Genomic DNA, 26,483 nt, shown 5'->3' on the forward strand with positions numbered 1-26,483 from the left:
TTAACTATGTGTGATTGATAGAATCTCCATCATTAACAATTTAGGAAATAGTTCCTAAACTTTATTCCTAATACAAAATGTGTTTCCCCTAATTAGCAAAATTGTAAAGTATATAGTATATATATAGTATATAGTATATATAGTATATAGTATATATATAGTATATAGTATATATATAGTATATATATAGTATATATAGTATATATGTATATATATAGTATATATAGTATATATATAGTATATAGTATATATATAGTATATAGTATATATATACTATATATAGTATATATATATATAACATACATGACATATATAAGTAATTTATTCCTTTGTTGGTTCAGGGAAGTATGATTTTCTAAATGTGTCGCTTAATGTGTTTATTAATGCAGTTTCAATTATATACACTCTTTCCTTACTGAAGTATTCATCTACTACGTGGAGCATGGTAAGTAATATATCGCATATTCACTTTTCTCTTAATACAATGTAATTGTCATATCAGTATTATTTATTCAGTCTACAGTTTTCCATAGTTTTCATATTTTTAATTTGTGTAAAACTACCTTCAACAGTTATGATGGATTCCTTATCTAAAGTTGATCAGTATTCTAAATGCTCAAAATGGTGTATATGAGCTCGTCATCTTTGAATAAGGTTTTCTAGTGAGTTTAGACACAATTTAAGGATAAGAAATGTTTCAATTATGTGCTTCATTGCTATAGGTGGATCTCCCCATAGTTTCACCTGGAATTTGTACAATATCAAGGGCTGTTCATGAACTTTGTGTTTAAAGAACAATTTCCATGGCATTCTGCCACAAAGAGGCAGCATTCACCCATGAGAAAATTGACAGTAACTACTTGAATTCAGGTTGAACAGGTGGTACCAGTTTCCCGGAGGATTAAAAAAAAAACAAATTGTAATGCTACATTGACCAAGTACAGTAAGCTGTTCATATTCTTTGCAACATTTTCCTTTCTAATTTTTTTTTCAAAGGGGAAAGGAATAAGCTTAATAATGTCATGGTATTATCATGAAGAAAAGTGCATTGCTTGCTCTTCATCTACCTCCTCTATATTAGATCCAAGATTAGAAAAGAAAAAAAAAATACTAGCATTTGACTTCAAAATTGAGATTGGTATTATTCTTCACAGCAGCAGGAAGTTATTTTTTTAATGTCAGTATCACTTCCTCAACCTTATTATATATAGATATGACAGTTTTATAAATTATAAAATATAAATGTAAAGTGGAATCCTCCATGTAACTTAGTTTTATTTCTTAATTGGTGCATAAAATAAAAAGATAAGAATTACATAAAATTAATGACTTAGTTCTGGGCAATATAAGTAACTTTCAAAGAAAGTTTAGTGATGTATTTTTCAAAGATTTACAAAATTTTATTGTAAAACCAGCATTATTTTACATCATTTTGTCACATATACTCCCTTTAGGTGGTTCATTTCTATCTTACTCTTCCTAAGATGTCCAATATTTTATTTTAATCTTCAAAATAACATTTATAGATTGATTTTTAGAAGTTCCCCTTAATTTTTATATTATATTTTCCCACTGTGTTAAGAAAATAAAAGTAAATTCATCCTGACTTTCATAAATGTGAAAAATTTTTTATCATCTCAGAATCATGAAACTGCACAGAATTAAAAAATGAATCATTTTTCTCCTACCAACGTCTTCCTGCTAATACATTAACTCATAAATTAGAATATAGGTTGTATAGTGTTGAATATTTGATTTTTGTTGATTTAAGTTGCTCACTGAGTAGATAATTGGAATGGGCATATCAGTAGTATATGACTGGAGTAAGAAAATTCTCTTCACAGAATTTTGAGGAAGAAAATATGTAATGTTTCAGGCACCAATTAAATTTGGATGCACACTAAGCTTACTCTTTGTGCTTGTTCGATTTAATATGTTGCATAAATCTCATATATTTAGAGGTAGATATTACAAAATATTATTTCTATGTCTATGTGATTATAATGTAAATACTTAAATTATATAAGAAAAAATAAACATATTCCAAGAAAATGTAGATAATTTGAATGCTAATATAAAAAATCATTTACAGCTAAACTATTGATTGAAGTTGTAAGTTAAACCACCTTAGCATAGATAGCCGACTTGGAACATGTCTTCTGTTTAGTGAAGATTATCACCTTTACACATGAAAAGTGGAAATTTTTGACAAATTTCCTGGGAACTCAAGTCTGTTCCTCACCACTGTTTCCTCAATACTAGTAAGAAAATCAAACTAGTTTGTAATGAGAACATCCACACGTACTGTGAAAAAAGTTACCATTTAAGAATTTAATCCAAGATCGCAGTTTCTGGCCTTAGGTATTAGTTATATTTGTGTTACTACCTTGTTTTGTTGGCAAAATATTCAAATTAATATTCATTATTTTCTTTTTCTATTCTATTATTTCTTGTTTCCTTACATCTGCTCCTTCCCTCCTTTCTCTTTTTTATCTTTTTTCTTCATTATTTTTCAATAAGGCAAGGGAAAGAGTGAACATAGTTTAGTCCTAGTTTGAAATGCCAAAATCTGGCTATTTAATTTGAAGAGTTCCATCGATGGTTCCCAAAGTCACATGACTCCAGATTAATGATAACATAGCAAATCACAAATATTCTGTCAATTCATTTGGAAATGTGCTCTTCTTGCACTTTTCAGATGGCTCCAATTTAAGATATTTGCAGGCATGGCAAGATACCTGGAATGACTACTTTTAAGAATAAATTTTACACTAAGAAAAAGGAACTAGGAACATCAAAGCAACAGATTTAAATACTAGAACCAGGCACAGTTAATTAATTAATTTTCAAAGAGAATAAAATGTTGCAAAAGTATAAACTGTACCATATTAACAGTTTTATTTATGCATAAGTTTCTACAAACCCTTTGAGATTCTCCACTATTGCAAATAAATATGTGAGAATAAAATTAAAGTAGTTGGATAGACATTAGTCATGTGCCTAAAAATAATTGTCTAACATCTATATCCTCATAAACTTTATATCCATTGATATTGCAGCTGTACATTATAATTATTAATTTCAATTCAATGTAATGCCTTTCTATGACTAACCATATATATTTCCATGAATATATGTAGCATGTATATGACATACAAAAATAGATGGATTATCAAGGAGTTATTACACACACATTTTTCCCAAGTTTTTTTACATTTTAATATTTTCAAGGATTTCAAATTATACTCTTATTTTAATGTTTTAGGAATGTTAGATTGGGGACAGAAAATTTGATGCAGTAAAATTTTTGAATGTGACAATAATACAGTACTTTTCTTTTCTTCCTCCGGTTTTAGCAGACCATGGCTTACTAGCACAGGTCAAATACTTCTGGTGTTAATTGTACTAGCATTATAAAAACTGTACTAGTATTAAAAGAACAACATTTAACTCCAAGTTTGAGAGATTTAGACTATTTCCTAAAATAATTTCTGAAGATTAAAATAGAAATATTTTATAGAAAGTTGATGTAATGCAAATATAAAATAATTTGATTTTTTAGAGATCTAAACAAAATGTTATGATATATTGCACAATGCTAAGTATGTCAGATCCATTTTTATTAGATGTTAGTAGAGTCATTTTATACAAGAAAGTAATAGTCAAGTAATAGTCATAGAGATATGTTGAATGGAAATCTTCCACTGAGGTTTTTTTTTTTTTTTTTTTTTGGCATCTTTATTAGTAATCATGAAGAAATATTGTACATTTCTATTATAAAATAAACATGTATATACTTTAAAATTTCATGTTTCTAAAAGTAGAAGTTATGAACCATTGTTTTGAAGGATATTTTTCATTTTTGTTGTTTTTAATTTTAGTTTAACATATGCACAGATGACATTGTGGCTTTATTTTGAAGACTCATTTATACCTGGTCCACATTGACAAACTTATTTGCGATTTGTATATTTAAATAATTTTTTCAAGATATTAACATACAAGTTCAATTCTTTCTTGATTGTAATACTTCAATATTTAATCATATTTATATTCATATATATTTATGCGAGCAGCAAAATTCTGTGGTTTTTGGTGTTCTGGAGTGTACATATTTTAGATTTTTACTGACAAATTAATTTCTACTACTAGTGATCATTTCTAGCATTCTCAACTAACACACTTTTCAAAAATCTTATTGTATACTTCATTAAAAACAATACATAATAATGGATATTGAAACCAAAATTTCTGCATATTTTCAATTTAGTACCTGCCTATTGAAACAAAATCTGAAGGGTGTCAGTAATCCTAGGTTAACTGATTAGCAAATTTCTTTTAGGATACTATAATACTCTGACTAGCATGTTTCATGCATGAAAAGTTCATCGGTGATATGCAGACTACAGTTTTAAATATTAAATTTAAAAATTGATATATAAAAATGAAAACTTGACCAATAAATATATCTCACCTGTAATAATATATTTACATAAATTATCCACACAAAAAATATGCCTTTTAACTTTATAAACATAGAATATTTTTTGCTATATTAACATCCAAAGTCAAAAGGGTGTATCACTCTGAAAATTCTAATAATAGTGAAAGACTTATAGCTATCAAATTTATTTAAATCCTCTGTTTTAATATCTACTTTAAATTTTCACTTCAAAATATAAAGTTAATGGTATATATTTTTTTTTATATAGCTGAAATCTGCCCTTGCTAAAGTTTCATAAGATATACAATACACATAATAGGGTTCCTTCACAGTTTTATTTTTGTTTAGCATTTAGGTACCATATATTAAAATATGAAGCTATAAATTTCCACTAGTTAAGTTATAATTATGTTTTTTCAAACAATATACCTCAATTATATAATCATCCCAATTTTTTAAAGCTAGTGACCATGAGCATATATATGGGTGCATCCAAATGAGAATATTGAGATCCAGAAATTACTAATTTTAGAGAATATTCAAAATCATTCACCAGACTGTCATTTAAACCCATTCAATCAGTATAATGATATATTTGTTACCCAATTATGATGAAAGATCCCTAATTCTTAGATGAAAATGTAGTATTTCACTGGAAATTCGTTTTTTGAATGTTAAACCATAATTATTGAGTATCCAGATTATAAATTTTAAATATCCTCTCCAAGATTTTATATATATAATTTATATATATATACAGAAAATTAAAGAGGGTCTTTCTATAAAAGTAAGCATTTTAGGAAATCACTAATTTCATATGGCTTTCACTATGTTTGACTTGTAATTTAACAACAAATTTCATCTTCCTTTAAGAATTTTTACCCCAGAGAAGGTATTTGTTTGCATAGCATGTACTTGAGTCATCCGTTGTCCTATTATTGGTTTTGGCCTAGTCTCTTCATTTAGAAGCTCTGTGCCCAAGGTCAGACACATGGAAAATGGTCTCTATCATTGCCTTTAATTCTCACAACTGAATCATTCTACCACTGTCCCCTACCTCTCTGTTATTTTTTGAAAGAAAAAAAAAAGAAGGTGATATATCTCTTTATTTTGCTAACAAAAGAATTTTAAGAATATCCTAAGGCAAATTCATGACATCCCCCACATTATTAAAATAAAAATATGACTCAATTTCTAACATGGCAATCAAGAACTATGTAAGCAGGACTTAGTGTGAATAAGGGGATGGGGATTTTAAATTGTTACTATGAATTTGTGATTCATTAGTAATTTTAAATACACAACATCTAAAACATAAAGGTGGCAATTTCTTTTTTAGTATATTTTAAATTACACACTTTTGTTGACAGGGTAGGTAATATAGTTTACAAAATGCCACTATTGCCTGCTTACAAACATTAAGAAACTTGGTTGCCGACTGATGACTCATGTGGTAACTCCTGAACAATCTGTTTTATTTGATCAGATCAGCTTTATTTCCTTTAAAAAAAATTTTGAATTCAAATGATTTTAGGCTAGATGAATAGCTTCCATATTTCCATATTGTCTTAACCTAGAAACTTCAAATAATTTTACATTACCAGCTAGACCATAAGTGTATTTTAACTTTCAATCATGATTAAATAAAATTTGTTCCTCTAATATTAAAATGTATCTATCATAATCATGGATTTTTAGATATTGTTCTTGGGGAGCTCAGAGTTTATCAAAGCTTTATATGTGATATACGAGGTAGTAAATACTATGTAGGTTTATATTAAGGAAATAAAACAAATATAATAAACACGAGAATGAATAATTTTACATGAAAAGGGGGAGCTGGTATGCTGTATATTAATATTGTATTTGAAATATAAATATATGTGTTAAAGTTAACCATTTACAGTGACTTGGAGTCTCCCAGAGATGAAATTACTCCTGTTTAGGTGATTTTGTAAAATGCACTATCTCTCACAGCCCCTGGACATCATAAGGGAAGTGGCAGCAGTAATTTAAGAGGTATGTGAATACAGAAGGGAAATTATAATTGCAGCATACACAGAAGCTTTTCCTAAACTGTTCAACTGCTCATATACTTGACAAGAGTGTAAATGGCCAATTCATTGGAAATATGTGAAACATCAAATATGAGAATCACTTTTAGGATGACAGGTATAATTTGGAAAATCTGATCCGATAGAATTAAGACCAAAACTTTTTTAAATGGGAGAAGACAGAATGGCCATTTTTTTTTCAATGTCTTTGAACAAAATAATGAGTAGAAGTAATATATTCTTCACCATTGCTTACTGTGTCCATGAGAGGTTGTTTGTAAATAGATATATACCTACAGGAAGTAAAAGATAATGTAATGAAATTCTCAAACTCTCCAAATATGTTTGTTTCCTTTTAAGATTGTTTTTCTTGAGACAAAAAACTGAAATACTATCTAAAATAATTTTGGATTTTATTTCCTCTATCCTTTTTATAACAAAATGTTACTTAGCTTTATATATTGCTATTATGTATGTTTCTATATAAATATATAATAAGTTGGATTTTTTTTCACTGTTGATTTGGTTTAGTCATCATCTTAGCTTTTTGCCTCACTGAAAGTATAGGTTGTGCTTCAAATGAGAAAATAAGAGGTGCGAAGTATTTGCTGTTATTTTTATCAAATGATAGCCAATGGCTAAACATTAAAATGGTGATTCTGTTATTCCGAATTAAGTTTCTTTGTCCACCACAGATTGATGGTGTGTCTTTGGCAACTTTCTTTGTGTCTCTGCTTTAATTTCAATTGTAAAAATGAATCCAATGAACTTGGTTTATGAACAGCTGAAAGAAATTTAGATTTTAAGTTTTCTCTACTAGGTGTATGACAACTGTGACTCTAAAATCAGCAACATGATAATTAACTATTACTGTTATTTACATTATGCACCTATGAAAGGGATGATTATATCTTTTAGAGAAAACATCTTTCTCTTACTGCGTATGTGTCTAATATTTGTAAAATAATTAGTTCAAAACATTTAATTTCTCCATTAACTTTTATTTTACAAAATGAAATAATTGTTTGTAGATAATTAATGGCAACTTTAAAAGTATGACACCCTTGAAAAAGAAAGAACTTACTAGTTTAGTTTTCTTGACTTTCTTACATATTTTTACCTTTTGAAATAACATTGAGCTTTCAGTACATTTAATAAGATGTATCATCAGTATTTATTTCTCAAAAAATTGAGTAACCTTTCTAAATTAGATAAGTTTTATTTGCTTATTTTATTTGCTTTTAACACATTTTGAAGTTATGTGTGAGGTAATTTCCATTGTTCCAGTTTTAATTCAAACAATACTGAACATACTTACAATATCTAAAGATCTTTGGCCTTTCTTTGCAGAATTAATTGGAAAAGGTACAATAAATATGCAATATGTCACTCACCATTTTAATATTCTAAATTTAGCAATTGCTCTTATACCTAATGATTAATAATATAAGTTGTTCTAGTTTCCTTTATCTGCTGTGGTATAAATTTGGCTGTTAATCCAATAATAAAACTATTTATATTTTTAACATTTTCAAATATCATTACTACTGCTATTTACTAGTCTCAGTGACAATCTGAGATCCTCCTTAGATGCTTAGAGGAACCTTTATACAGGGTTATAAATAGAGAATTCTAATGATTAAAATTTAAAATGGTAGCAATGACAAGTCCACTATAAACATAATAAATAAATCATTACCTTCTCTATTAATGAACAGAAACTTCAGTACTTTAAAGCTAATATCTTGAAAGATTTTAGAAGTGCAGCAAGCTGGTACTCACACCTAATGAAAAGGTCTTAGTGAAAATCATTTTACAATTTACAACATTTGCATTGTTCTTTACAAATGTTGTTTCCATTCCATGCAAGACAATTAAACCAGAATTATTTTGACCACAAATTTTTCTTCCTAATTAATTGGCCAAACACAATGTAAATAAAATAGGAAATGCTTCAGTTAATATTTACTATATAAACAAACAAACAGATAGTGGGATAATGGTTTTATCTATCACCATATTCTAGAATTGTGCCTGGCATTCAGTAAGCACCTAATGGATTAACAAATATGTACTTGTAGATGTCTGCAGACCAAGGTGAATTTAGTGAATATCAAAAACTTCTTGAGTGCTCCATCGTAACGCCATTTATCTTGACATAAACTGCAAAGATGGCTCAAATGTCGATAAGGATATCAGGTGAGTGTTTAGTACTTTGGCATGAAAGTTTTTGGAAAACCATTGGGATGCTACTAGTGATATTTAAATATATTTATGCTAAACACAGAAAATATTTTCCAAATGGCTCCCTTTTAGTCTATGTTTGTTTTAATTAAGTTCAGATAGTTAAGAAAAAAATGGAAATAGGACTAGAGAACTTTGGCATAAAACTCATTTCCCAGTCTTTAATTGTAATTATTTATTTTGCTTTGATAGTATAATTGGTTACATTTTTCAAAAATAATAAGAAAAGTAATTGTTGCTGCTCTGCACTTACATTACTGTTTTAAAGTTCAGGGTATGCCCTAATGGAGATGCTGGTGAAATTTTCAGGCATTTTCAACGAATATGATCCCGGTTTTTTTAAGTCTGGTGAGGTGTTTATCTATTTAGAAAGCTTTTCTGGGCACCATGTATTTTCCCCTGGGAGTAGAAAATCAGTTCATCTTTTTAATGACAATATTACCTCGAGGGAAAAAAGTAATCCAGAAGGAATAATACATTCCTCAGGGCAGTTGCCTACACAGGGACACATTTTTCTCTGGGGCTGACTGCACGTATATTTCAGTGGAAGAGTTTAAATATTTTAAGATATGATTGCATTTTGTCATAAGGCACCATGACTAAAGGATACAGTATTTTTTGAATATATAGTAACATATTTTTATAAGCTTTTATACATCAATTATAATTTAGGAAATTTTATTTGCTATGAAAATTTTAGCTGTATTCATATTTGAGGTAAAATAAAATAATTTTAACTTTCAATTTGCATGTTTTGTTAAACATAACATCAGAAGAAAGGAGGCATAAGTAAAGAGATATTTGAGTTTCACTTATGAACACCAAACAGCACAATTTTAGAAGTCTTTTAGCTATTTTGATAGCAAAATATATATTCTTCATTCTTTCTATCCAAACTTTAACCTTGATGAGTACTTAGATGATGAAGTATTTACTTACTGTCATCACTTTGAATACTTTGGAGAATGTATAATTTGAGATTGTGAAGGAGTTTGACTTTGTAGCCACATCTTTTAATTCCTTAACATTATATTTAAGATTCATGTACTTCAAAGTTCTGTTTTCACTTCTTTTGCCCATTAAAAATATTGGAATACTACTAAAAAACCTTTGTACTTTAAATACCTATTTTTTTATTTTACAAACTCTTGTAATAATTTTCCTTCCAAAATAAGAATAAATTTTATATTGAATATATAATGTTAATACATTAAGATACATTGATATTGTGTTTGCATTATAAAATGTATGCTCGCAGAACTACACCTATAGAAAATAGTTTTGTTTCATGAGATATTAATATTATCAAAGCATTTCAATAGCAATCTGATGATAAATATAAAATATAGATTACATTTAAGAATACTATACTTATGTGGAATAATGAAAAATAAATATTAAGCATCTTTTCAAAGTAACTAATATAATCAGAATGAAAATTAGATTTTTTTGAATTTAGGAAAGATCTTTTTTTCCTGTTATTTTCTCTAATTTCTTCATACCAAATCAGTTTTACACTTATTTATTTAAAATTAACTTGAATTTCTGTTGATTATTTTTAAACAAAATCATTATTTGTTGTATAAAATAAAAATAATAGGTTGACTAATTCATAAATAAACTAAATGTAGCTATTTCATTGAGCATTTAAATAACATTTAAACTAAAATCAATCAAAAACACGTCATTTAAACAATGAATTTTCTAAATTAGAACTGCAAAACCAATTATAATGTTGGGTACTAAAGATGTTTTATAATATGCTGATTCATAGTAAATACTTTTAAAAAGAAAAATACATAGCTTTTTTTCCTAAAATTTGAATCTCTTTTTAATACATGAAACATGATTTTATGAATAGTGCTAACATGAGAACATCAGTGTGTCTGTCTTTTTAAGTGGGAATGTGGATATTCTTGTGCATGAGTACCCACATTTATAGTTGAAATTACATTTTTGTTTGTTAAATTGAAAAATAGACAACATAACATCTAGACAACTGTGTGAAAAAGTAAGCTCTACATATTGATAATATATTACATCATAATATATTATATCCTATTATAAATAGTTTTGTAAAGTGACTTGGAAAAATACAGTTCCATGTGTATTTTCAGAAATTTAAATTATTTTTGTTAAAATTGAATAATGTGTACATCTTTAACGCAAATTTTATATGGCTAAATTTCTATTTGGAATGTCTTAAAGTAAAATCACATCAAAATTTAGTCATTATATGTATTATGAATAATACTATAGGCAATATTACTTCCAGTACCAGAGAAAGAAGAAAATATTAGTTTAAAGAAGTAGTTTTTTATTTATAAATAATTAGAAAAAAACACTTGTGTGGGTTTTTCACATGGTAACCAAGAGTAGTATGAATTTTCATACTCTTCCATGTGTACTCTGGGCCATAGCTATGAAAAATTTGTAACCATCATAATAGGAACAGTGATGTTTGGTTTAATTTTGCTCTCTATTGCATGTACTACAAATAAAGATTCTTTTCCATTTGAAAATCTTTCTATAAAACAAGAAATTTCCCATGCAGATGAAATGAGGTTACAGTGAAGCAAAGGAAACTAAGATTGTAGGTATTACCAAACTAAGACAATTTATAAAATTATCTATATATCTATATATAGGTGTGTGTGTGTATATATATATATATATATATATATATATATATATTTTTTTTTTTTTTTTTCAAGACAGAGTCTTGCTCTGTTATCCAGGCTGGAGTGCAGTGGTGCAATTTCTGCTCACCACAGCCCCCACCTCCTGAGTTCAAGTAATTCTCCTGCCTCAGCCTCCCAAGTAGCTGGGATTACAGGTGCCCACCACCATGCCCGGCTAATTTTTGTATTTTTAGTAGAGACGGGGTTTCACCATGTTGGCCAGGCTGGTCTTGAACTCCTGACTTCAGGTGATCCACCTGCCGCGGCCTCCCAAAGTGCTGAAATTACAGGCATGTGCCACTGTGTCTGGCCAAAATAATAAATCTTATGTTAGCTTTAAGGAGTTCTGAACTTAGTATCTGTCATGTAGTAAATAAATAAACATGATAATCTTCTAGGAATTTTGGGTAAATAATTTTAAACAAATTCTTAATCTCACTACACTATAATCTGCCTCAACGTTGTTGTTAGACGTGTATAATGAATATTAGAAGTACTGGACAAAATTCCATTTGATCTCATTTTCTTGAAATGAGTTAAGTTATTGTTGTTGCCACATTTTTCATCTAGAAGTCATTCTGTAATAAAACTCTTTGTAGTTGTTATCATCTGGAACTGTTACACTGGACCTATGGTGCTATAAAGAAAATCTCTATTAAAAAATGAAAGTCATTTCTTTTACCAAATATTTATTCAGTCGTAAAAAATGTATATCCTTATATTTTGACTGAGTATCTCTATTGATTTATAGCTGAAATGCTGGAATGAGATTGTGTATTAACTAGGATTAGACGCTTGGAGTCTCACATTTTTCTCATTAAATTTTTATTTATTCTGGATATGGAATGTTGGTACAAACGTTCCTATATAGTGATTATTCACATGATCCATATTAACATTTTTACATTATTGTTGGACTACATTTCATGACATATTATTACAGCGTCAATTACTATAATTATATGTGATTCAGGAATGTTAAAATATTTATCTCTGTATCTAGATTGTCCTATTCCTTTCATGCACTGTATGTAACATAGCATGTTTATCTGGTAACTCTTGTATTGCAACAAGCCAGAAGGGGTTGGAAACTAAAGTAAATAGAGTAAATACTCACTCAAAGTTATTGAAAGGCTCTTGGAAACTGCGACTCTAAGCAAAAAAAACATATAAGGAAAGCAATTTTACCATAGGTTAATGATGTAAACAAGAGTTAAGTTCCTAGGGCATATTTCTGGTCACGAAAACATCACCAAATTTCTAAATAAAGAGCAAAACACTTCTAATACTAAACATTGAAATGTATGTGAAATATATATATATACATATATATATGAATGATTATTAAAATCAAGTAAAATTATTTTTTACCCAATTATTTCAGTTCAGGGTCTCCAGTGGCTGCAGCCTATCCCAGAAGCTCAGGGTGCAAGGCAAGAAGTAATCGTGGGACCAGGCGCCGTGGCTCTCGCCTGTAATCCCAGCACTTTGGGAGGCAGAGGCTGGTGAATCACTTGAGGTCAGGGGTTCCAGACTAGCCTGGCCAACATGATGAAACCTCATCTCCACTAAAAATACAAATATTAATTGGATGTAGTGGTACATGCCTGTAATCCCAGCTACTCGGGAGGCTGAAGCTTGAACCCGGAGGCAGCGGTTGCAGTGAGCTGAGATCGTGATACTGCACTCCAGCCTGGGTGAGGGAGTGAGACTCTAAAAAAAAAAAAAAAAAAAAAAAAAAAAAAAAAAAGACTAACCATGGGCAAGACATCGTCCCATTGCAGGGTGCACTCACACACACCCACACTCACTCACACTGGGACAGTGTAGACACACCGATGAACCCAACATGCACATCTTTGGGATACTAGAGTAAACTGGAGTGCTTAGAGAAAACCCATGAGAACATAGGAAGAACTTGCATACCCCACACAGACAGTGGTCCCTGCAGGGTTTTTCTGTTTGTTGGTTGTTTTTCCTTCATCAAGTTTGTAATGAAACGATGTTGAATGATAAAATATTATTTGAGGAATTGTTGTACAAGGATTTTGGCATTTGTCTGTATATGGAAATCAAAGACATTTTAAAGTGATTATAAATCTTTGTACATGTTGACAATATTCAATTCAGTTAAAGGCTTTATCACGGTACATTGTGACCTCTCTTTAAATGGTTACATTACTTTGAGCTCTGAAAATTTGTTATACTTACATTGTTCTAATTGTTCATAACTAGGAATTCACTGACTTTGCTTTAATGTATGCTAGGAAAACTGAAGTAGATAAATCATACTTCCCCTTTCAGTCTCCTTCTCTCTTTTGGATTTAATTTTAACTCGAGGTTTATTAATTACAGAAGTTACACTCATGTTGCTGCAAATGTATTTTTTCTAGTTGTTAATTTGTTCATGACATTCTGCTTGATGATAGTAATATTATGATGAAGGTGCCTCAGATATCAAAAAAGATTTCAAGTCTATAGAACGTACCTCTAGCTACAGAGTCACAGGATATGTGACAGCAATGATATTAGGGGATGCTGAGCTGGAAACCCAATTCAGCACCAGAGACAGAAATACTGTATTTTGACTCATTCATCTTACATGGAAGATGAAGCCTGCCAATCAAGTAGAAAATGTAGGCCTCCAAGACAATAACTCACCTGCCTTTTTGTGGTTTATATTTTTCATCTTGGTTAAAAAGTGTCCATTGATAGGGGATTTAATCAAAACATTAAAGAAGACATAATATAGCCACCAAATCTAATTATTTCCAACTACTAGATATCAGAGCTTTAAAAAAATTGTTTTTAACTGCATTTGCTTCATTTTTCTTATGGGATATTAATAGAAAAATGGAGTGCATTTCTAACAGTTGCATTTTTTCATATGTGTGGCTATGTTTATGCTGATATTAGTTAAAAGTTCTAAAAACAAGCAAAGAAAATATACACAGTTTTTTGGCATTGATTGGTTGATATAATAATTATGTATATTTACTTAATATGCATAATTTAAAAATGTATATTTTTATGTATATATATTTATACGTATATAATTACGTATATTTACTTAATATACATAATTATTACTATGAGCTTGGGCAAAAAATGTATTTTGGCATTCCACTGTTCAGTTTTAAGTCATTTATTGGTACATAATTCTTTTATTTCTACTTCAATAAATATAATTAAGTTTTGTGAAAGCCGTGTTCTAATGAACAAGTAATTCTTTCTTTTAAAATATTCCTTTTAATTCTAATTTAAAGTTTCTTAAGTAAAAATATAGCTCTTCAATAATAATATTATAATGTGTTTCTCTTCTAAAATAAACAGATTTTATACTCATTATTTTAAAATGTGATCAAAACCACATAATTGTTTTTAGTCTTCTGATTGGGATTTTTAAAAAGAAAATTCAAAGTTTGGCATTAAATATATTTTCTGTAAGATAATATAACTACATATGATAAAATGATTAAGTACTCTGATAGTGTCACTATTTCAATACCATTATTATCTTTAACATATGTTAAAACACTCCAGTACATAACTAATAAAGAGGAATTCACATGGCCAGCAATTTTAAACTGGTGCAGCAAACTTATCTTTTGTGTTTGCAAACATAAGAGAACTGAAGAAGCAAGATGCAAACAATGTCTCCGTTGTTCAGCATGTGTTTTATGATATAATACATTCGTTCATGTTGTGTTATACAAATTTTGCAGGGAGGGTTGCTCGTTTTATCAATTTGTGTATTTTTTATTTCATATTTTGTACGCAATCATGAGCATTTTTCTTATAAATTGTACACAACAAGAACCTGTTGAAGATTAGAAGGAAGGAGCAGCACATACTTTTAGCAATCCTTTTATCTTACCAATCACTGGAAGAAAATGATGCCAAGAAGCCATGTGAGATATCATCTCTGTCTGTCATGTTTTCAGAACAGAGTGTGGCTTACTAATGTTGCCATTGCAGGCTATGCTTTGTCAAGTGAATACGGTTTTCATCTTAAGGGGATAGTAAGCAAGATGTTAGCAATACTCACTCATCTTCAGATTTCATTGTCAAATATACTAATATTTCAAAAATATGGTTTTCATCTAGAAAAAAATGGAGATTTTGAGTGTACAAATATAGCCAATGCAGGTTAAATTTAAACAGAGATTTTTTTTTAATCTCTCCCTTTTTTATACTTTTTTTTTTTTTTTTTGAGACAGAGTCTTGCCCTGTCACCCAGGCTTCAGTGCAATGGTGCAATCTCGACTCACTGCAACCTCCGCCTCCCAGGTTCTAGTGATTCTCCTGCCTCAGCCTCCCAAGTAGCTGGGATTACAGGCACGCGCTACCACACCTGGCTAATTTTTGTATCTTTAGTAGAGACAGGTTTCACCATGTTGGTCAGGCTGGTATCGAACTCCTGACCTCATGATCCACCCGCCTCGGACTCCCGAAGTGCTGGGATTACAGGCATAAGCCACCACACCTGGCCCCCTTTTTTATACTTTTTACAAGTAATCTGACACTAGGTGCCACATAATTAAGATAAAGACAAAAGTGCAAAACCATGTAAAATATTGACTTCTAATTGTGAATTAGTTTCCCTTTTCTACTTGTTTTGCCTTGTTGGATATGAAACATTTCAAGTATGTCATTGTAGGATTATTTTTGACATTTTATTCTTAGAATGGTGATTTAGTTGCATAATTCTCATTTGCTATACCACTTTTCTAAAAAATAAATGTTTGAATTATTGAAATATCCCAAGATACTCCTTGTTATATAATTGTAGATCATTACTTTATTTTCAGACAAATTATGCTATTGTGGATAAATATTCAATGTATAAAATACAGGACTTCTTTTTTCCTGTTTTACAAAACTCCAGTGCCCTTTCTTATCTACTATTTTAATATTCCTTTGCTATAGTATATTGCATAATGTGGAGTCAACTATTTTTTACAATATGTACGTGTTGATCTGAAAGTTCCTATTGAGTTAAATAATGAAAAATAATTTGGTGGACCATGAATTTTAAATTTGTTAAAAATTGTTTTATTTGTGTATGTGTATAAAATTAAATTTTGCAAATTGGTAAATTTATTCTTCATTTAACCTTGTTGCTTTGAGTACTCCTAAAGCTTGTAATAATTCTTTGGGGAGTAATATAAAATATATCATTCATAAGTGAATTTTGCCTTACCATTATTCAAGAATAATTGGTTTGCATTTTTTATTTTTTGGTCAACTCTTCTGTTATTTCATTTCCCTAACTTCTTAAAAATAGTTAAGTTTGGGTTATAAATGGCTACGTATTTATATAATTTATTTTGAAAACTACACTAATCTATGAACTTCTTAAGATTATACAAGCTGATATTTAAAATAATCTGAGTCACTCAAAGATCTTACTTTGGAATAGCCACTAAGAATAGTCAGAACAGTTTAGTGTTTCTTGAACTGAAGCATTTTTCTGCTGCTGCATTTGAAATTGCCTGCTCTCCTTACTTAGATTCTCTAGATAGCTGCCTGTGAAACCTCTCTCACCTCCCACACTTTCACAGGCTCCTGGGGCTGGCGCAAGGTACAGCCATTGGTGGCAACATGAAGTTAACAACAACAACAAAAGCAGAGTAAAGAGAAAAATTGGAAGAGAGACTATTTCTGAGGTTGTTTCCAAACAACCCTAGAATTCTGTACATGCCAGGCACTTTCCAGTGCCTATTCCATTTTTTCATTCATAGTTCCCAGGAAAAGTCCTGATTGGAAATGCAAAGCCCTGGGCCTAGTTTCTGTGATGATATTTCCTTGCAATTTCCTTCTGATGTGTAGATGGCTTTTGTCTGTCCGTTTGCTGTCAGTAGGAGCATTAGGAGCTTAGCTTGAATGTGTGTGTGTGTGTGTTTATGTGTGTGTGTGTGTCATTACTAGTCCCTGTCTATATGCCAAGAAAGACTGGTAGGCAAAGAAGAAAATTAAACATTTAACCCTATCTCAGTGTCTTTCTAACACTACCAACAAGAAGGAGGGGCGGGGAGCGGGGAGAGAGAAATGGATCATGGATTTGTTTTAGATGTAAAAACCACTGCGTGTTGGTAGCTACATTATATTATGTGGTGGGTTAGGGAAGAAAGAAATCTTCATTAGAAATAATGGATAGCGGCTGGGAAAACATCAGTAAAAGAAAAGAAATTGAGTGAATATCACTTGGCTTGAGATGTGTTGTATCCTCAGGAGTTTCCTTTTATTTTTAACTACCCAAAGCTGCTGATCTAACCCTAGTACATGAGCTGAATATCCATCTCCAGGATTTTCTCTCTCCACCGTAATATTCACCTACTATTACCTGCCTTGAATTTCTTTGGCAGGTCTTGATATGTGTAATTACTTTCCTAGAATTGGAGTTGTTCCGGTTTCTTTATATTTGAAGAAGACAGAAGGAAATAACCTATAAATTGATTGGAAATATGTTTCTAGTAACTTACATTTGATTTTTAATTTTTTAAAACATTGCAACATATAGTTCTTTGTAATAGTCACCAATGTAATAAATACTTAAGGTGCATCGTAAGTTAGATTATCTTTGTTGACAGCATAAAGTTTGGGTTTTTTTAGACTTTGATTTATATCAGAAAAGAATTTAACATCACAAACAGATTATAGTTGCTAAATCCAACCCAACTGTAAATTCATTTTGGGTGTTTCTTAACCATTTCTTAACTATGCATTTAATCCAATTTGTTAGTGAAAAAAGTGAAAAAGGATATATAACTTTAAAATTAAAATTGCTGTTCAAATACTTTGCATTAGGCAATTTAAATGCCAAGTGCTTTTTTTTTTCAGTTACAGACATACACCCTTGAAAATACTGTATTAATGCAAAAGGTGAGGCCATAACATTTCATGCAGCACTATGTAAATTCTAGTGGAGCAATTTGGATACTTGCAGTAGGCATCTTCATCTTTTTAAAATCACATTATGAAAAATTCATGTTCAGTCAAATACATACAATTCTAAATAATACTGTAACTTCCAGGATGCCTTTTTAAAATATTCATTTAATTTTCAAATGAAATATATATATTACTAAGCTTTCATTAAAGCCAGCCTCTGCCTAGTCAAACTTTAAGAAACCATTGCGGTTTTGTACATTTCTAACTAGAGAATATTCTTTTGGATATCCTTACTATGTAATGATTAGCCAAGTCATAAATAAAGTGGCCCACCTTAATAACTGAGCTGGATTGTGGAAGGATTTCTAACTAATTATCTAGTAATACCATGAAATTACATGGTTTCTATCATGTGAGCCGGATAATTTTTATATAAACCTTTTACAGCCTGATTATGCCTATGAAGTGACAGTAGCAGACACATTTTGCTGACAAGGCAGAATAGCTGCATTTGTGAAAAATCACTGTTTGAAGACCATAAGGCTAACAGAAAAAGTGGTAGATAGGGAAATGCCTTCTGAAAATGAGAAGACAGCCACCAAGACAGCAAAAATGTATATACACTATATGTATGTATATATCACAATTCTGTCAAGTCAGATGACTGCCACTCTGACCGCTTTCAGAAGGAGCAGCACAATAAGGCCAAACTGTAAGGTATGTTATGTGTAACGCTTACTCTTTACTTTTACTGCTAAAATCATGCAAGTTTTCATAATCTGCTGGGAGTGAGGTCAGTGTGGGATAAAATAAGCAGCAACATTACTTTGGTCACTCTTTGGCAACTGACAATGGTTCTTGTTAGAAATTGGTAGTCCCAGCTACTCGGGAGGCTGAGGCAGGAGAATGGCTTGAACCCGGGAGGCGGAGCTTGCAGTGAGCCGAGATCACGCCACTGCACTCCAGCCTGGGCCACAGAGCGAGACTCCGTCTCAAAAAAAAAAAAAAAAAAGAAAGAAATTGGCCAGTTTTGATTTACCTTTTAACATAGTGGCCAGAGTTTATATCCTTTTAGTGTAAGTAAATAAATGAATGAGTATGCCTTGTCTTACTAGGTTGATTCTTATTCATTGAGCATAAAGGAGATATTCCACATACAATGCATACTTTAAAATGACAAAATAGAACCAGTCATTACTCTCCACACAGTAGCTACGTGGACAGAGAAACATATAAAAATATACAATTTTAATAGAAGGGAAATAAATTTGTAATTTCCTTTCCTCACTTTAATTTGGAAACCTAGCTTAAAAAATTGCCTATTAAATGTTAATCAAATATTAATTTTAATACTGATTACTTTGAATTATTTTTATTTTGATGTTTCTATTAATCACACATATATCAGTATATTAGTAAAACATAGGGGAGTTTTCCACTGTATTTCTTTTTTTTTTTTTTTTGGTTTAATTTTATTTTATTTTTGTATTTTTTTGTTTTTTTATTTTATTATTATTATACTTTAAGTTTTAGGGTACATGTGCACAATGTGCAGGTTAGCTACATATGTATACATGTGACATGCTGGTGCGCTGCACCCACTAACTCGTCATCTAGCATTAGGTATATCTCCCAGTGCTATCCCTCCCCTCTCCCCCCACCCCACAACAGTCCCCAGAGTGTGATGTTCCTCTTCCTGTGTCCATGTGTTCTCATTGTTCAATTCCCACCTATGAGTGAGAATATACAGTGTTTGGTTTTTTGTTCTTGCGATAGTTTACTGAGAATGATGATTTCCAACTTCATCCATGTCCCTACAAAGGACATGAACTCATCATTTTTTATGGCTGCATAGTATTCTATGGTGTATATGTGCCACATTTTCTTAATCCAGTCTATTATTGTTGGACATTTAGGTTGGTTCCAAGTCTTTGCAATAGTGAATAGTGCCGCAATAAACATACGTGTGCATGTGTCCTTATAGCAGCATGATTTATAGTCCTTTGGGTATATAGCAAAGGATGGCTGGGTCAAATGGTATTTCTAGTTCTAGATCCCTGAGGAATCGCCACACCGACTTCCACAATGGTTGAACTAGTTTACAGTCCCACCAACAGTGTAAAAGTGTTCCTATTTCTCCACATCCTCTCCAGCACCTGTTGTTTCCTGACTTTTTAATGATTGCCATTCTAACTGGTGTGAGTTGGTATCTCATTGTGCTTTTGATTTGCATTTCTCTGATAGCCAGTGATGGTGAGCATTTTTTCATGTGTTTTTTGGCTGCATAAATGTCTTCTTTTGAGAAATGTCTGTTCATGTCCTTTGCCCACTTTTTGATGGGGTTGTTTGGTTTTTTCTTGTAAATTTGTTTGAGTTCATTGTAGATTCTGCATGTTAGCCCTTTGTCAGATGAGTAGGTTGCGAAAATTTTCTCCCATTTTGTAGGTTGCCTATTCACTCTGATGGTAGTTTCTTTTGCTGTGCAGAAGCTCTTTAGTTTAATTAGATCCCATTTGTCAATTTTGGCTTTTGTTGCCATTGCTTTTGATGTTTTAGACGTGAAGTCCTTGCCCATGCCCATGTCCTGAATGGTAATGCCTAGGTTTTCTTCTAGGGTTTTTATGGTTTTAGGTCTAACGTTTAAGTCTTTAATCCATCTTGAATTAATTTTTGTATAAGGTGTAAAGAAGGGATCCAGTTTCAGCTTTCTATATATGGCTAGCCAGTTTTCCCAGCACCATTTATTAAATAGGGAATCCTTTCCCCATTGCTTGTTTATCTCAGGTTTGTCAAAGATCAGATAGTTGTAGATATGAGGCGTTATTTCTGAGGGCTCTGTTCTGTTCCATTGATCTTTATCTCTGTTTTGGTACCAGTACCATGCCCTTTTGGTTACTGTAGCCTTGTAGTATAGTTTGAAGTCAGGTAGCGTGATGCCTCCAGCTTTGTTCTTTTGGCTTAGTGTTGACTTGGCAATGCGGGCTCTTTTTTGGTGCCATATGAACTTTAAAGTATTTTTTTCCAATTCTGTGAAGAAAGTCATTGGTAGCTTTATGGGGATGGCATTGAATCTGTTAATTACTTTTTGGGCAGTATGGCCATTTTCATGATATTGATTCTTCCTACCCATGAGCATGGAATGTTCTTCCATTTGTTTGTATCCTCTTTTATTTCATTGAGCAGTGGTTTGTAGTACTCCTTGAAGAGGTCCTTCATGTCCCTTGTAAGTTGGATTCCTAGGTATTTTATTCTCTTTGAAGCAATTGTGAATGGGAGTTCACTCATGATTTGGCTCTCTGTTTGTCTGTTATTGGTGTATAAGAATGCTTGTGATTTTTGTACATTGATTTTGTATCCTGAGACTTTGCTGAAGTTGCTTATCAGCTTAAGGAGATTTTGGGCTGAGACAATGGGGTTTCCTAGATATACAATCATATCATCTGCAAACAGGGACAATTTGAATTCCTCTTTTCCTAATTGAATACCCTTTATTTCCTTCTCCTGCCTAATTGCCCTGGCCAGAACTTCCAACACTATGTTGAATAGGAGTGGTGAGAGAGGGCATCCCTGTCTTGTGCCAGTTTTCAAAGGGAATGCTTCCAGTTTTTGCCCATTCAGTATGATATTGGCTGTCCACTGTATTTCTGAGTTTTCCACTCATCTCCTATTTGAATTTGTCTGTTTGCCACTATAACCGTTAAATAAAATACTTTTAATTTATTTATTTGAATTCATTATTTGTCTTAGGAGTCACAGTTCTTGAGTACATTGTAATTTTCTTTATTTTTATCCAGAAATAATTTAATTTATTTGGAATGTAGTGTGTATGGATACTCAAAAAGTGATTACTAAAAACAGAAATGATAATGGAAATTATGAATGGATCTCATGCTGAGTTAACTGCTATGTGGGAATCAGCTACCTAGGTGGAAAATACTGGTTTCTGCAAGGCACTACAGTGAGAGTTTATTCTCTTTTCTCTTTTTCCTCTTTCTTTTCTGTTACCTTCTTATTCTTCTTCACTTACTCATGACTTGGAGTAATTAGTTGATTTCAGTTACAAGACATGCTGGCAACCATATAGGACTTTACTAACTGATGGATCAGGCATAATAAAAACAATTTACTAACATTTTACTGTAGCTAAAGTATTCACACTAAAGACATTCTAGTTTCTTTGATTGTTGTGTTTGTAATTTCAAATATGTTTCTGATTCTAGCTACATGATTATAACAAATATATATCTATAAGTATAGTTTATGTTGGTCAAATATATATGACTATTCTACTTAACTATGATTAACATATTAGAAAATCATCAATTATTTTCAAATCAGATAAAAAAATTCTAATTTTTGTTCCATAAATCTGTATAGATTAAACTTGAATCTATACCTAAATTCATAAAATTTAAGCAATTCTGGTAATTTCCTTTAATAATAGAATGTAAATAGTCCAAAATGTATTAACAAAATGGACAGAATTTCTAACTGTTGGGTATTTTAGAAAAAGGTATGCTATGCCTGAAAAAGTTCATCTCTTTATATCCGAAATATTCTATGCTACAGATGGACTTCATACCCCAAATATTCCATACTACAAGTTTGACTAAACTCAGAAAATTAAAACATATATTAGTTTTCAAATTACAGGAACTTTTCTAAACTGTTGCTCTTTTTGATTTTTTATAGTTTATATCCAAAAATTGTGTATGTTTATAACGATTACTCACTACAATATTGTTGTAGGTGTAATTACAACTCTTGACTTCCTTTTACCAAAAAAATGTTCACTCCCTTGACTCCCCCTGAAAATACTACTTTCACTTGTTGGCAGTGAAAATCAGTAGACTATCATAAAGTATTATTATTGTTAAATTTTTATATTTATTAACACTTATCTGTACCCAAAGTCTTATTTTCTTTGGATTTGAAAACTTTCTTTTTATAAGATAGAACAAAAAGTTAATTTTCATATCTAACTTTTGGATTTGCTGAAAAATCAGATTCTTTTAATAAGAAATTTACATATAATAATAAAGCTTTAAAACTTCCATTGCAACTAATTTTGAAAGGTCATCAATGAGGAATAAGCAATAAAAAATATAATGCATAGGTTTAGTAAATATATAATGCAATATGAAGTAGCTTACTTGTTGATTATGTATTAGTGTAATATATTTCTTCCTGTGTAGTGAAACAAGAGGAAGATAATGGAGAAAAATTAAATGAAAACAAAATTTTCTATTTATAAGTACCTAGAATAGATTCCAAATTTTATGCATATTTGCGCTTCAAAGTCTCAGGTTTTATTTAAATACCCAGCATTTTGTAGTCATGACGTTCATTGAAAATAAGCATTGTCCTCCAGTACAATATGTTACAAATATGTATTACATTTCTAATATTGCCCAGGCACTGTGACTGTAACCATAAAGAAGCCTAGCATTTGTCTCTATTCTAGAATATACAGCCATACTTCTCAAATGGTAGTTTACATGCAGATGCCTTGTGGATTTCTACATACATGATTTCTAATAATTCTGTAAATAATCTGTTTCTACTTTGCTGTGGGAAAAATGGATCAGAAGTGAAGTACGTCAAGGTCACTTAGTAAGTAATGAAGCCAGGACTCAGAAGCAATGCCTTCTGTCTCCAAAAAACTAAGAATGTGTCGAAAAGTTTATATAAGAAAAGGCAACTGTGAGGCCTCTCATGCAAATGAAAAGGGAGGTTGTGAGAATTAAAATGAGGGAAGATGCACTAGCCTGGGGATTATAAAAATATTATAGAAGAGGAGGTATACTCAAGTGTTTGAAAAATAAGTTAAAAATTTTAACAGGGAAATGTGGGGATTGTCTGATGTGTAGCAGCAACCAAGGCATGGAAGCCAGAAATCCAAGTGACATTCCTGAGAGTAGGAAGCAGTCCTTTTTAACATTAGGATTAGTTAAGTGGCATAATTTGCAGAGCATTCTGGAAAATCAAATCATTGTTCATAAATAAACTGCCTTAAAGAAATGTTGACGAATTTCTAGGCAATAAGAAAGCAATTAAACGTTTGAGCAGAGTTCTGTCATAATGAAAATTTTTTAAAGAAAAATAAATCATAGAGGAGGGTTCACTGGTTAAAAAGGAGAATCACTGGAAAAGGAAGATTTCTTGGGGAGGCATTTCAGTAACCCAGATTAAACAGTGAGAGGAAAAGAGTGACAGAAGAATAGGAAATGAGGAGGCAGTTACCAACAATAATATATAGAAAGAATTGTCAGGTTTGGACAATAGAGTGAATTCACTTGAACTTAATTCTACAAACACAGGTTTTCTTTGGTTTGGTTTTGTTATCGTTGTTGCTATTTTTTGGTTTCTCTAGTATCCCCAGTGCTCAGACCAGTATCTGGCACAAAGAAAGCAATCAGAAAATATTTTTAAAGTAATAAATAAATGCAGTGGATGAAGAAGAAAAACTAGCCAAATATAAATAAACTTGCATGACAATGTTTGATATAGGTTATGAGGTGTTTTGAAAACATATTTTTATCATTTCATGTTTTGGTATCAGTAATATTTCTCTCATCATTCCGGTTCGCTGGTTAGCTTTTCAAATGCTTTGCATCTTTCTGGGTATATATGACTCTGCCAACAATAGAAAATGGAGAATGGCAAATATTCATCTGTTGTTTTTTGTAGTTTTTACATAATTACATAAAATATTTCATTACCGTTAAGAGCAGATTAGCACAGTGGATTTTTTAAATAACGTTTGTGTATGCCTGTGGCTTTCACAAGTTGTGAAAAACACATGATTTTTGCATGTCCTTTCCTAAGGATAGAAAATAGCAGACTAAAAAAATAAGTATTTTCCAATAAGTAGGAACTGAGCATCTTCCACTTGAGTACCACTTTGATTAAACTACACTGTTGCTTTTTTCTGGGTGTGTGTGTGTTCTTATAGAAAATGCATATTTTCCTACATGAAGTAATTAATTATTCGAATCTCCCACTCCTCTAGTTGTTTAAGTCTGAGGAGGATTCCCAATTTTGAAATAGGGGAAATTATTTCTAAATTTCTCTAAGGCTGTCAAACATTTTATCATACTACTTTGAGTTAGCTCTATTCCTTTGGCGTTCTTTTGAGACACTTAAGGATTTAATATTTTATTCCATAGAAGAGTCCTGGTAACATAATCCATGCTTGTCTAGTGACATAATACACTTCTGGCATCAAACTTTCAAAAACTAATTTCATTGAGCATATTTTCTTGCCTAGGCCAGATGGATTCTTAGTTCAACTGCTCCTTTACCTAAAGTGGAGACGGACACACAAATGGTGTAATTTGTTCATAGTGCTGGCGGTGAGATTTTTTGTGCGGGGTGCTCTTTTGCATATCTATAACCCTGAAGTGTTTCTTAATCTCTTCTGCAATTTGTGTGTTACAAATGAAATGAGTAAGATCACGATTCAGCACCTGGAAATGAAGCTATCTCTGCGAGGACTTTTATGATTTCTTGTAGAAGATAGTCTTTAAGAGCTGTGCTCTGTCCTGCTGGCCCCATTTAACTCCTCACTTGCAGCATAGGTACAAATGTGACATTTCCTTTTAAAGTGCATGTATAGAGGTGCCCCCTAGGCACTCATCCTGAGAGAGGAAGCAAACTGTAAAATGGGACGTAAGTTTTCCTGCCTTTTATTTGAATCTCAAGCTGAGGAAGAAAAGTCAACAAACTATGAGATGTGTAGAAATGTTTAGATTCTGAATTCCTTGAATATGTACCTAAAATATGCACCACAATGTAAGTACCATCATAGTTTTTTGAGAAATAAAATAATTATGAGACAAAATTTTTTTTAGTTTCAACCGAAGCAATTTAAGGCTTACTGCATGCACTGAAGAAAATTCAGAAATCCAGGAGAGGCATATGTTTAACTAGCCACCTCCAGTTAAGGTTACCTTGTTCTTTGGTTATAAGCCATATGCTTCATGTCTCTTCTCCTTTCTCTTCTGTGGCTCACTCCTTTTGCTGGATGTCTACATTGTCTATGAACATGCTCACATACCTTTCATGTGAATGAAAAAGCTTTATTTTATCTTATTATTCCTCTAGCTATTATGCCTCTTTCTTTCTTTCTCTTCTACTTAATCCATTTTTAAATCATGATCTACC

General features: G+C 31.2%; 1 long non-coding RNA gene across 1 annotated transcript; it reads left to right on the forward strand.

Annotated features, from left to right (window-relative positions):
- The first annotated feature begins 282 nt into the window (after positions 1-282).
- LOC112268106 (uncharacterized) lies at positions 283-16,615 on the forward strand. Its single transcript, XR_002957486.2, has 3 exons — positions 283-445; positions 8,580-8,697; positions 12,808-16,615. It is a non-coding gene; the product is annotated as an uncharacterized LOC112268106 (long non-coding RNA).
- The last annotated feature ends 9,868 nt before the right edge of the window (positions 16,616-26,483 follow it).

The sequence above is a fragment of the Homo sapiens genome, chromosome 13, assembly GCF_000001405.40.
Source record: "Homo sapiens chromosome 13, GRCh38.p14 Primary Assembly".
Lineage (NCBI taxonomy): Eukaryota > Metazoa > Chordata > Mammalia > Primates > Hominidae > Homo > Homo sapiens.